General features: G+C 50.4%; 1 protein-coding gene, 1 non-coding gene and 1 pseudogene across 5 annotated transcripts in view, besides 3 other annotated features; all 3 read left to right on the forward strand.

Annotated features, from left to right (window-relative positions):
• SLC12A3 (solute carrier family 12 member 3) overlaps positions 1-13,277 on the forward strand; it is a 50,644-nt gene that overhangs the window by 32,703 nt on the left and 4,664 nt on the right. For all 4 annotated transcript variants that reach the window (NM_000339.3, NM_001126108.2, NM_001126107.2 and 1 more), the window contains exons 23-25: positions 1,621-1,707; positions 4,464-4,599; positions 6,486-6,553. In NM_000339.3, coding sequence (NP_000330.3) covers positions 1,621-1,707; positions 4,464-4,599; positions 6,486-6,553 — 291 coding nt within the window. The remainder of the gene's footprint in view (positions 1-1,620; positions 1,708-4,463; positions 4,600-6,485; positions 6,554-13,277) is intronic.
• Positions 874-923: an enhancer, noted in NCBI's record as "active region_10857". NCBI's record gives its function as "activates an Ori minimal core promoter by ATAC-STARR-seq in GM12878 lymphoblastoid cells {active_cell/tissue: GM12878}" and the evidence as "EXISTENCE:reporter gene assay evidence [ECO:0000049][PMID:35858748]".
• Positions 5,351-5,531: a silencer, noted in NCBI's record as "fragment chr16:56937172-56937352 (GRCh37/hg19 assembly coordinates)". NCBI's record gives its function as "represses an EF-1alpha promoter that drives an FKBP-Casp9 reporter gene in an ReSE screen in HepG2 liver carcinoma cells {active_cell/tissue: HepG2}" and the evidence as "EXISTENCE:reporter gene assay evidence [ECO:0000049][PMID:32094911]".
• Positions 6,160-6,668: an enhancer, noted in NCBI's record as "H3K27ac-H3K4me1 hESC enhancer chr16:56937981-56938489 (GRCh37/hg19 assembly coordinates)". NCBI's record gives its function as "activates a minimal SCP1, AML or CMV promoter by ChIP-STARR-seq in naive H9 embryonic stem cells {active_cell/tissue: H9 hESC(naive)}" and the evidence as "EXISTENCE:reporter gene assay evidence [ECO:0000049][PMID:30033119]".
• Positions 6,355-6,444, forward strand: MIR6863 (microRNA 6863). The gene has a single exon (NR_106923.1). It is a non-coding gene; the product is annotated as a microRNA 6863 (primary transcript).
• On the forward strand, positions 8,589-9,114 carry RPS24P17 (ribosomal protein S24 pseudogene 17; annotated as a pseudogene).

The raw sequence follows: 13,277 nt of genomic DNA on the forward strand, positions 1-13,277 counted from the left end.
GCTTTCAAAATTTCACTCCCCAAGATCAGGGACCAGCAACGGCTTGCCTGCTGGGTCCCAGCCTGGTCCTCCAGACTTGTTTCCCATTTCTTCCTCTCTCCCAGCACACTCCATGCATCCCAGCCAGCTCCTCACTGCCCTGTTCCACCCCCCTGCACCCCGATGCCTTCCCTCCTTTTGACTGTTCCCCACCAACCAGTCCAGTGGTCCCTAACCAGGCTGGCACATCAGAATCACCTGGGGCATTACCAAAACCATGTCCTTCCCAGGGGTTCTGACTCAATGATGGGCAAGGGGTTGGGGGGAGGGCCCAGGCAGGTGTATTTTTTTGTTAGTTTGATTTGGTTTTGTTTTGTTTTGTTTTGTTTTGTTTTTTTGAGATGGAGTCTTGCTCTGTCACCCAGTCTGGAGTGCAGTCGGCTCACTGCAAGCTCCACCTCCCAGGTTCACACCATTCTCCTGCCTCAGCCTCCCGAGTAGCTGGGACTACAGGCACCTGCTACCACGGCCGGCTAATTTTTTGTATTTTTAGTGGAGACGGGGTTTCACTGTGTTAATCAGGATGGTCTTGATCTCCTGACCTCGTGATCCACCTGCCTCGGCCTCTCAAAGTGCTGGGATTACAGGCATGAGCCACTGCGCCCGGCCAGGTGTATTGTTTTGAAGGCTTCTTGGGTAATGTTAGTGTAGACCCTCCCCTGCCCCACCCGCTTTGGCCTGTAACAATCTTACCCCTCTTTCACCGTCCAGCCAGACCGCCACCTCTGTGAAGTCTTCCCTGACTGCTACAAACCACAGTAGGCTTCTCCTTCCCTGTTAGATGCAAAGTCAGTGCCATCTGTCTTGCTACTCCTGGGTCTGTACCTAGTTTCTTGTGGGTTATCTTCGCTTCCTCAGCCGCTCTAGAATTTCCTTTATTCAACTTTCCTATTCCTTAGACCTTTGTTACTCAAAGTGTTGTCTGTGGACTAGCAGCATTGCATCCCCTGGGAGTGTGTTAGAAATGCAGAATCCCAGGCCTCACCCCAGACCAGCCGAATCAGAATCAGCGTGGTAACAAGATCCTCAGCAGATGCGTAGACATGTGAAAATTTGGGGTGCGCTAGTACAGAGATGGCCACCAGATACTTGGGAAAGTCTGGTCAATTACTTTTCCGTTTCACTTGTCATCATCTAACCCATTTTGTGGGTATTCGTTTCCTGTCTGCCGCTACCCCCATGTTCTACAAGCGCAGGCTTTGATCTATTTTCCTCACTGCTATGTAGTCAGTAGGTGCTCAGTGAAAATTAGTTGAATGAATAAATACATTTTTAAAACTCTCAGGCTGGGCATGGTGGCTCCAGCCTATAATGCCAGCACTTTGGGAGGCCGAGGCAGGATCACCCGAGGCCAACATGACGAAACCCTGTCTCTACTAAAAATACAAAAATTAGCCATGCGTGGTGGCACACATCTGTAATCCCAACTACTCGGGAGGCTGGGGCATGAGAATTGCTTGAACCTGGGAGGCAGAGGTTGCAGTGAATCGAGATTGCACCACTGCACTCCAGCCTGGGAGACAGAGCAAGACGCTGTCTCAAGAAAAAGTAATAACAATAAACCCTCCATGTGTCCTCCAGGATCATTTCTCTGCTGAGCAAGTTCCGACTGGGATTCCATGAAGTCCACATCCTCCCTGACATCAACCAGAACCCTCGGGCTGAGCAGTAAGTTCTGTTTTGGGGCTTCCAGGCAGAAGGGCCAACTGTGTGCCTGGAGACCCCTCTGCCGGCTGCCCCCTTTTTCCTTGGTAGACTAGGAGCAAGGGTCTCTCCTCCAAGCCCTTCCTAGATGTGTCAGAGGGCACAACTTCTGCAGTGGCTGTGGCCGGGGCCTGTCCCCTCCCTGGGGCTGAGGGGACCACAGGGCAAGGCGGCTGCAGCCCCTGACATTGTGTTAACACATTGGTGCTGGGAGAGGGGAAAAGGTGAGTGACCTGGGCAACAACTTCCTTCCTCCTTCCACGCAAGGGCAAGAGCACAGATTTTAAGCAAACCCCTGTGTGAATTTGTAGCAGTGACCAATGGCAGGTTCAGCAGGGACTGTTTGCTTTCCAAATGGTATAACTCCGTCTTCTTCAAATAAGACATTTACAAACAGGATTTGTATTTTGTCAATCAGTGTGCGTGAGGTTTTCCAGGACTGTCTCCTCACTAAGGTATGTTTCCTCCTGACCTCCTAGCCCTAACTTTTCTCTTACGTCTCCCAGCCGTAAGGATGTCCCCCATCTGGACAGGGAAGGAAATCAAGACAAGCAGAAAGGAGCTGTGTAATAGTGATGCATACATTGGCTCCAACCATTTGTTAGGAGCTGTGCTTGGTGCTGCAGAGGCAGAGATGAGGAATCTGCAGCCCCATCCTCCAAGCATGGCTGCAGGCTGGTGAAAGCCAAGGGCAGTTGCAATGCTGCAGAGACAGATCAGGGTGCCAAGGAGAGTAGGATTGTCTCTGTTGGTGGAAAAGCAAAGCCTTGCGAAAGGCTGGCCTTGATGATCAAAAAGAGATCAGGGAGATCTTCCAGGAAGAAGAGACAGCAGGAGCAACATACAGACCCCATCTAGCATCTGATTTTTATTTATTTATTTATTTATTTATTTATGAGATAGAGTCTTGCTCTGTCACCCAGGCTGGAGTGCAGTGGCGCAATCCCAGCTCACTGCAACCTCTGCCTCCCAGGTTCAAGCAATTCTTCTGCCTCAGCCTCCCAAGTAGCTGGGATTACAGGAGCACACCACTGTGCCCGGCTAAATTTGGTATTTTTAGTAGAGATGGGGTTTCACCATGTTGGCCAGGCTGGTCTCAAACTCCTGACCTCAGGTGACCCACCCGCCTTGGCCTCCCAAAGTGCTGAGATTACAGGCGTGAGCCACTGCGCCCAGCCTAGCATCTTATTTTAAAAATCCCCTCCATTGACCTTTCATCTGCCTCCAGCAACTGGACCATTTCTCTCCTCCTTGGCACAGCCAGACTTCAAGATGTTTGCACTCTTTGTCGACCCCTCCTCCCTTCCCCTAATCCTCCCGCTCCCAACCCACTGCCCCCGCTGTCTGAGACCACTCTTGCCAGCATCATCAGTGACCTCCACGTTGCCACACCCACAGAGTCCTCTCTCTCTCTACCTTTCAGCTGCACTTGACAGTGATCCTTCTTGAGACCGTTCCTTCTTTTGGCTTCCAAGACACCCCTTCCACTGGTTTCCTCCTGCATCAGGGGCCCTTCCTCCAGTTCGTCTGCTGGTTCTTCATCCTTGACCTCACTCGCCCTTGCTGGCATCCTTGGGGTTTGGCCCTGACCCTTTTCCCTTCTCTCCATTTACTCTGTCCCAGGTGAGCTCATCCATCCTTGTGGCTTCAGATAGCATCATCTGAATGCCAATCAGCCCTACATCTCTCTCTCTCTTTTTTTTTTTTGAGACAGTCTCACTCCATCACCCAGGTTGGAGTACAGTGGTACCATCTCAGCTCACTGCAACTTCCACATCCCAGGTTCAAGTGATTCTCCTGCCTCAGTCCTCTGAGTAGCTGGGATTACAGGTGTGTGCCACCACACCCAGCTAATTTTTGTATTTTTAGTAGAGACAGCATTTCGTCAGGTTGGCCAGGCTGGTCTCGAACTTCTGACCTCAGGTGATCCGCCCGCCTCGGCCTCCCAAAGTGCTGGGATTACAGGCGTGAGCCACTGTGCCCGGCCCCAGCCCTAAATCTCTGTCTTTAATGATGTGAGTCACATCGCACAGAAGACCCCCAGCAGCTTCTGGTCTCACTTGGGGCAGATAAGGAAGCCCTGCCCGACTGGGCCCTCTCTGCCTGCCTGTCCTCACCTCCTCCCACCCTTCCCTGCACTCACCTTGCTCCAGCACACAGGATCCTTCACTGCTCCTCATATGAGCCAAACACGCTCTGCCTCAGGGCTTCTGCACGTTCAGTTCTGTTCGCTTCTGCACCCCCTGTCCCGTGCATGGCTGGTTTTGCAAGGACAGACTTCCTTCAGGTCCCAGAAGGGCCTTCCCCACCCATTATTCTCTGTCCCAGTACTTGGTTGTCCCTTCATAAGCTTCCACTTCATATTTATTTGCTACTTGCTTATCACCGTGGCTCTGTGAGGACTGGGGACACAATCTGATTTGTTCACTGTTGTGTAGCACAGAGCCTGGTACAGAATCATGCTCTGTAAATACCTGCTGGATGGTCGGGTGGGTCACAGGTCAGTGGTTGTGGGCAACTTGTGAAAGTTCAGTTGGATGCCAGACCCAGCCAGCAGAGCTGAATTCAACATGGAAGCCACTTTGTAAATGGCAGTGTCCGATGGGTTTCAGCCTGAAAATGGGAGCTGTGGCAACACTGCCAGCTCCCCGCAGGGACCTGGCACCCCTAGAAATGGGGTTATCGTCTCAGCCGGCCTCAACCCACTTTCTCGTCCCCAGCACCAAGAGGTTTGAGGACATGATTGCACCCTTCCGTCTGAATGATGGCTTCAAGGATGAGGCCACTGTCAACGAGATGCGGCGGGACTGCCCCTGGAAGATCTCAGATGAGGAGATTACGAAGAACAGAGTCAAGGTGCAGAGAGGGGTGGGGGTGGGAAACGCGACACATCACTGGGTCAGGGACGGGTGTCCTGCATGTCTTGAGCTCCCCCAGCCCCTCCCCTCGATCCTCCACCCTGCCTTCCACTCCGGCCCCTGAGGTATCCTCAAGCCACAGTCGTTCAGGCTGATGGGTAACCCGGCTGTGGAACTCAGTGCTATCCTTGACCTGGGAGCCTGGTCCTCCTGCCCATCTTGAGTGAGCTCTGGCAGTGGGCTTGACTGCCCGGAGTCCTCCTCCTCCTCCTCCTCCTCCACACTTCCTCTATGCCGGGTGGAAGAGATTTCTGAGACTCATGGTGACAGCCAAGGTATAATTAGTCCTGTTAGGCCGGGCATGGTGGCTCACCCCTGTAATCCCAGCACTTTGGGAGGCCGAGGCAGGTGGATCACTTGAGGTCAGGAGTTCAAGACCAGCCTGACCAACATGGTGAGACCCCATCTCTACTAAAAATACAAAAAAAATTAGCTGGGCATGGTGGCAGGCACCTGTAATCCCAGCTACTCGGGAGGCTGAGGCAGGAGAATCGCTTGAACCTGGGAGGCAGAGGTTGCAGTGAGCCAAGATTGTGCCATTGCACTCCAGCCTGGGTGACAGAGTGAGACTCCGTCTCAAAAAAAAAAAAAAAAATTGTCCTGTGGGCCAACACGGCTGCCTGACCTTCCCTGCTTAGCCTCTAGACCCTACCCCTGCCACAGCTCAGAGCTATGGTGCCCCTTCCTGGACAGCACCTTCAGGACTCTAAGGGCTAAGAAAGGGTGTGTGCCTGTAGCCATGCTGTGAGTGCGTCAAGGTGGGGCAGGCTCTAGGAGTGCGAGCGAGAGCGATGGGGGCAAGGGCCGGGTCCTACTTCTACCCCCAGTGTCAGTCATTCTCCACCACGAGGGAGCTTACCCCCTGGGGGACATTTGGCAACCTCTGGAGACATTTTTGTTTGTCACAACTCGGGGGTGGGGCTGCTACTGTCAGGCAGTGAGGAGAGACCTGCGATGCTGCCAAACATCCTACGATGTGCAGGACACTTCCCACAACAAGGACTTGTATGCCCCAAATAACTACAGTGCAAGGTCCAGAATCCCTTACCCACGTTAACTCCCTTCCCCTCGGTCTCTTGGTCTCCAGGATAGGGCATCCGTCCACGATCAGTTCCTGAGTGTCAATCATTTCTGAATAATTTGAGCTAGGCCTTGGGTTGGAAGGAGTCTCCCACCCCCAACCCAGTCCCACGCAAGTTTGGGGACTTCCCTAATCTGTCAGCCCCGAGACCCTGCCCCAAAGGGCCCATGCAGCCATCTGGCTCTTTGGAAAATGCTGAATAAAACATTGTGTCCGAAGAAGACCTTCCAATACTCTGTTACAGAAGAAGTGGGGCAACCTCTCTTTTATAAAGTATTTTTAGTGTACCAGGCCCTCTGCCGGGTGCTTTTGCATAGGTTGTCTCATTTGATCCTCCCCAAATTCCCCTGGAGAAGGTATCATCATACCCATTTTACAGATGAAGATGGTGAAGGTCAGGGAGACAACCTGACTTGCCCAAGTTCTCTCTGCTATGAAATGTGAGAGCTGAGATCTGAACCTAGTAAGGTGTTCTCTCTTCCCTCTACCCTGCTGGTTATGGTCATAAAGTCAGGCAAGGAAAAGCCACAGAATGCTTCTTGGAGGAGGTGAGCTTGGTGCTCCATTACTCTGAGGGTCCCCTTCTTCCTGGAGACAGGAGACTCTATAAGAATTTATGAGGCAGCAGAGTCTACAAGTAAATCATGAATCCAGTTGAAAATGTTAATGAGGCCATAGACGTGGTGAAGGATTGAGTGACCTCGATGATATGGGAAGTGACCACTCGGCTTTCTCCCGCCCAGTCCCTTCGGCAGGTGAGGCTGAATGAGATTGTGCTGGATTACTCCCGAGACGCTGCTCTCATCGTCATGTAAGTAGTGCCCGGCTGGTGGGAGGACCAGTCTGTCCAGAGTCAGGTGTCTCAGCTCTGGGAAGGGGCTCAGCAGGGGCACCACGGAGGGCCCAAGCCTTCCCCTAGGAAGCAGAAGGGCCAAAGTTCCCATAAACATAGCCCTGGCGATTCTTAGCATGTGGCTGGGCCTGAGCCCGCCCCACACCTGAGCTCCAGCTGGCAGGGGTCGAGGGCCTCACGTGTCCCAGGCATCAGTGACCTCCCCTTGCCATTGCTTTTTCCTGTTGGCTGCCTTTTCCTACCAAATTCCACTTGGCAAAGAGGGAACCCAGCTCTTTCAAGAGGGACATCAACTCCTGGTTGTTCAGGAATTACTTGGCCCTCCTTGGCTATCGGCCATTCCCAGCTGATGTTGGTTCCAAGCCTGAGCAACAGAAACAGAGGCCTGTCCTAGCCCTGGCTGTTCCTACTGGACCCACGTCCAGTTCTGAGCCACCCCTGGGTGTATTAGCCAGGGCTGAGCAAGCAGAATGTGGGATGGAAGGTGAGAGCTATGCAGCAAAGGTCTCAGGGTGGCTCTGCTCTCTCTGAGGCCTGTAAGAAGAACATGATTGGCCGGGCACGGTGGCTCATGCCTGTAATCCCAGCACTTTGGGAGGCTGAGGCGGGCAGATCACCTGAGGTCGGGAGGTCGAGACCAGCCTGACCAACATGGAGAAACCCCGTCTCTACTAAAAATACAAAATTAGCTGGGCGTGGTGGTGCATACCTGTAATCCCAGCTACTCGGGAGGCTGAGGCAGGAGAATTGCTTGAACCTGGGAGGCAGAGGTTGCGGTGAGCCGAGGTTGCCCCATTTCACTCCAGCCTGGCAACAAGAGCGAAACTCCGTCTCAAAAAAAAAAAAAAAAAAAAAAAGAAGGAAGAAGAGGAAGAACATGATCAGCCAAGCCCTCAGCTCAGGGGACAAGGGGTCTTCGCCAAGGTAAGTAACTGGCCTCTCCTACATTTCCTGGGGGCCAACCACCTGGGAATCAGACAGAAGGGATCTTTCGGCTCTGGTGATGTACCCCACTCCCAGACCTGTCACCATCTGACCTGGACTGCAGATGCCAGGTTCTGCATGACAGCCGAAATGTTCGTGGAAACTGCTTGTTCAGAGCCTGAAGCCAGGACCAACTACACAATTTGCAAGGCCTAGGACAAAATGAAAATGTGGGGCACCTTGCTCAGAAACTATTAAGAAGGTCTGTGGTCTTCCCTTTCAAAGCAGTCTCCCTTACATCCTCACATAGGATGTATGGAATTTGTTTTTTAAAAAATCTCACAGTGGTGGAAAGGAGGAGGGGGTAGGGGTTCAACACAACTGATCATAGTTTGATCATTGATGTAGACAGATGATGACGTGGGCATGAAACGTCAGGGTATCATTTTTCAAACTTCACCTGTTTGAACCCTTCTATAAATCTGCAAAATGCATCCTGCCTTGGAGAGCAACCACAAGTGCCTCATCAAGCTTGCTTTCTCTGGCAAGAAGGTCCCCAAAAACCTAGCGCCACACACTGTTCTAGGAAGATGTGCTCAGATAGGAGGGATCCTTCAGCTCTGGTGATACAACCCATTCCCAGACTTGTCACCATCTGACCTAGACTGCAGATGCCAGGATCTAAGGATATTAGATTCATGAGAGGAGACCTCAGAACAAGTGGTCCATTGAGGGTGATAAAAGCAACTCAAACTATTTTCCCCCTACTTCTGTTGCTTGAGTACTGTGTACGTTGCATGCATCCCTTACTGCTGTGTCTGCAATACCCTCTTTCAGGAGAGCACCAGCAATGTTTCTTTTATGTAGTGTAAGTGCCCCTTTGAGAAGATCAAAACAGCAAATGGGTTCAGACTGAAAATGGCCAATGGCTTCTAGCAGATGAGTAGATAAAGCTTGAGGATACGCATCCTCCTAGGTCTCATCAAAGGCTAGAAGCTGAGCAACCAGTTTGGAGACCTGACCTGGAGGTTTCTGGACCTCCAGTCTGTCTTAAGATGTCCATGAGGGTTTTTCCTCCCTGGATGTCTGAGGATTGACTGCCATCCTGAATGAATCAGTAAGTATCCAAACTAGGAAGGTCGTGACCAACTGACTACTTCAGAGGAAACAAATGGTCGTCTATGTCCTTCACCCTGGGAAGGCAACAGTACCTAAGATAGAAATTCAGGACCAACTAGCCAAAATATACAAGACCACACTGGATATCATCTTTGCATTTGGATTTAGAACTAATTTTGGTGGTGGCAAGACAACTAGCTTTGGCATGATTTATGATTCCTTGGATTATGCAAAGAAAAGTGAACCCAAACATAGACTTGCAAGACATGGCCTGTATGAGAAGAAAAAGACCTCAAGAAAGCAATGAAAGGAATGCAAGAACAGAATGAAGGAAGTTAAGGGGACTGTAAAGGCCACGTTGGTGCTGGCAAAAGGTGGGCTGGAGATTGGATCACAGCCAAAGGAGTAAAGGGGCGGCAGTGTGTTATCTGCAGCCATTGTGGATTTTTTACAAGAAGATTAATAAACTAAAAACTCTCACATGAAAAAAAGATGCCCAGGAGAATTCAAAAGGCACCAGCACCAGTTACTCTTCATTGACAGGACAGAGGTAAAATTTTTGCTTTTACCAATTAGCGGAATTTTGTCACCAGGAGAGTGGTTCAGGCAATTAGAAACGTGCTTGGGGCTGGGCATGGTGGCTCACGCCTGTAATCCCAGCACTTTGGGAGGCCAAGGCGGGTGGATCACCTGAGGTCAGGAGTTTGAGACCGGCCTGGCCAACATGGTGAAACCCCACCTCTACTAAAAATACAAAAAAATTAGCCAGGCTTGGTGGTGCACACCTGTAATCCCAGCTACTTGGGAGGCTGAGACAGGAGAATTGCTTGAACCTGGGAGGCAGAGGTTGCCGTGAGCCAAGATCATGCCACTGCACTCCAGCCTGGATGACAGAGCTAGAAATGTGCTTGGATAATACTCAAACGCTACTTCCATACACGACAGCAGTTTTCAGAAATCATGTCTTAGAACATTCAGGCTGCTATAGCAAAATACCATAGACTGGGCTTATCAATAACAGAAATTTATTTCTCATGGTTCTAGAGGCTGGGAAGTCCTAGATCAAAGCATGGTAAATTCAGAGTCAGAGGCAGGGCTCCTTTCCTGACTCATGGATGGGCCTTCTTTCTGTGTCCTCACTTGGCGGAGGGAGCCAGGGAGCTCTCTGGGGCCTCTTTATAAGAGCACTAATCCTATTCATAGGTCACAGGGCTCCACTCTCATAACCTCATCATCTCCCAAAGGCCCCACCTCCTAAAACCATCACTCTGGGGATATGGATTTCAACGTGTGAATTTTGGGGGGACATGAATATTCAGACTGTAGCAAATGGTTCTGACTTATAGTTTCTCTTCTTCCCAATCACTTCCTATGTGCCAGTAGACAGTAGAGCATGTAGAATTCTTCATGATTCCTAATATCCTATGCAGTGTGCAAACCCTTCTTAGCAGATGTGTGTAAGAGTGCAGAAGTCTAACAACAGACCAGAAGCAGACCATTGTCAGTCTGCCCCTGGGACTCAGTATTCCTCATGCCCCGATGTCCCCAGTGCCAGTGTGTGCTTTTTTTTTTTTTAAAGAATGATTGTATTCATTTCTCAGATAGTGATATAACTTTTTTTTTTTTTTTTTTTGAGGCAGAGTCACTCTGTCACCCAGGCTGGAGTGCAGTGGTGAGATCTCAGCTCACTGCAACCTCCGCCTCCTGGGTTCAAGTGATTCTCCTGCCTCAGCCTCCTGAATATCACCACCTCGCCCGGCTAATTTTTTGTATTTTTAGTAGAGATGGGGTTGCACCATGGTGGCCAGGCTGATCTCAAACTCCTGACCTCAGGTGATCCACCCACCTCAGCCTCCCAAAGTGCTGGGATTACAGGCGTGAGCCACGGTGCCCAGCTGCAGATAGTGATATAATTTATAGTGTAGTCAATTGTGTTGAACTGCCGCTTGCAACATTTTCTTGTGTGACTTAAGGCATTAGAAAAAAAGAAAAAAAGAAGAATGTCAAGACGGTGAGAGCAGGGCATTAGATAAACAAGGGACCCTCCGGAGCAGAAGGCCCCGTGTGACTGTGCTGGTTGCACACCCAGGAAGCTGGCTCTGCCCAGAACAATGCTTCCTGGGGCTTTAGGGACATGATTTTTTTGTACAAAGAAAGTGCCCCGTGTTTCCTTGGAGAACAGTGATAAGGAAAGGGGCTGGGCTTATCTCCAAACCTCTTGCCAACACCTAGCAGAGAATGTTCCTAGGACAAGATTGGTCCAGGGTGAGCGCTGGGTCCGAGCGCAAGACAGTGGAAATGGCTTTGTCCTGGGACGCCTCCCCAGACTCTTCCTTGGGTATGGTGCCTGGTGGGTGTGCATGGGTGTGCCAGACCACGGCTTAATGAGTGCCGCCTCTGTTCAGAGAGGCATGTGTGCATTTTGTCTATGCGATTAGCCCACTGTGTGGCCTTGGGTAAGACCCCATGTCTCTCTAGCCTCAGTTTCCCTAATTATAAAGAGTTAACAAAAGTATTTCCAAGATTCTCTTTCATGCTAACATGCTGTGATTCTAAGTTTATTTGTCATTAAAATGAGTCTCAGCTGGGCATTTATTTGTCATTAAAATGACTCATTAAAATGAGTCTCAGCTGGGCATAGTGGCTCATGCCTGTAATCCCAGCACTTTGGGAGGCTGAGGCTGAAGGATTGATCGAGCCCAGGAGTTGGAGAACAGCCTGGGCAACATAGTGAGACCCTGTCACTACCAAAAGAAAAAAAAAGAAAGCAAAAAAAAAAAAAGAATCAGTCTCTCAGTCTCTTAAGCCATAAGATGAAGAATTTCATCCCGGGAGGTGACCACCTGTTGGAATCTCTCCCTTCCCACCCCCCATCCCTACCACCATCCCCCAAACTCACAGGGAAAATCAATCCCCCACCCACCAGCCTTTGTGGGATTTGCCAATACAAGTAATTATAAATCCAGTGACCCAAGAGAAGACCCCTGCCCAGGGCGTCCCACCCCATGCCAGTAGCTACAGCTGTTGCCCAAAGAGGCCCCAGCTATTGGGCCAAGTCCACCGGGAGGACAGAGCAGCTGCATCTCTCCATCACTAATCTCCAACCTGGAGCCATGCCTAGTGTTTCTCTACAAGTTCAGTCAGAGGGTCCGCTTCATCAGAACCACCAGGGGACTGTGAAAAATGCAAGTTCCTCAGTGCCTTCCAGACCAGGCTCTAGGGTGGAGCCCAGAAATTCTGAGGAAGGGAAAAAAAAAAAATCTCCCAAGCCTCGGTGAAATGATTAGATCACATTGTCTAGCATCTGGGAGAGCGTGCTTGGAGCATTTTCTAGAGCCGGTTTGAGGCAGCACTTGATTGATTGCTGTTCACTAATCAGTGGGTTATCAAATGGCCCCGGGTTTGAGCTCAGCTACCCCAGCACAGCTGATAAACCAGCCTCATAAAAAGCCCAGCAAGCTTTGACTAGCCTAGCAACATATTCCTGTTGGGTCCAGACACCTCTTTTTTTTCTAAAAACACTCCCTCCTCAAAGCCAAGCAGCAATAATCAAAATAGTAATAATCAACATTGCATTTTATGGCTTGGGCCTCTATATGGTACTCAAGGCAATAGGCCTTATGAATTTGCAAAGCCCTAATTTTAAGAGAGCATCTCACTCTGTCACCCAGGCTGGAGTGCAGTGGCAGGATCTCGGCTCACGGCAACCTCTTTGTTTTTTTTTGTTGTTGTTGTTTTTTCTCTTTCTGTAACCTGTGACTCAGGCCTCTTTGGGCATCTTTGGTCCTATAATTTTCTTTGTTTTGGTGGCGGGGTCTTACTCTGTCACCCAGGCTAGAGAGCAGTAGTGAGATCTCAGCTCACTGCAACCCCCACCTCCCGGGACTCAAACAATCCTCCTACCTCAGCCTCCCGAGTAGCTGGGACTACAGGCACATACCACCAGGCCTGGCTAGTTTTTTGTATTTTTTTATGGAGACAGGGTTTTACCATGTTGGCCCAGGCTGGTCTCCAACTCCTGAGCTCAAGCAATCCACCTGCCTTGGCCTCCCAAAGTGCTGGGATTACAGGCATGAGCCACTGTGCCTGGCCTCAAAACTCTATTATAATCACCCCCTCACTCCCACTTTAGAGATGAGGAAGCAGCTTCAGAGAAGTTAAGCAACTTGGCCAGGGTCTTGCAGACAGGAAGTGGGAATTGCATCTGGAGCCTGTGACTGTGGTTCTGATGCAGGGCTGTCTTTCACATCTAGGTTAGATCTGAAGTCGCCTTTCTTTGTGGCTAAGAGATGTAATTCTGAAAAAATGTTCCTTTGTTCTGGAACAGTTTTATTTCTGAAGATTAGTAGCTCAAGGCATGCACATCCTGTGAGCAGGAATAGAGCACGTCATTGACTGGTGTGGGGGCGGGGGTGATTTTCAAGACAGCTGTCTCTCGGACAGGTGGACAGGCTGTGTTGGGGGAGGGAACTCCATGCTGAAGCTTGAAAGTCTGACATAGGTGTGTTGGATGTTCCCCACCCCCATGGTGCAGGCACCATTTCTCTCGTGGCCTTTGAAGTTTCTGAATTCAGTCCCCGAAATCATGTCCTATTTCCTGGATGTTGTCCGCCTCTTGCATAACTGCTCAGTCAGGAGA

Source organism: Homo sapiens, chromosome 16 (assembly GCF_000001405.40).
Source record: "Homo sapiens chromosome 16, GRCh38.p14 Primary Assembly".
Taxonomy (NCBI): domain Eukaryota; kingdom Metazoa; phylum Chordata; class Mammalia; order Primates; family Hominidae; genus Homo; species Homo sapiens.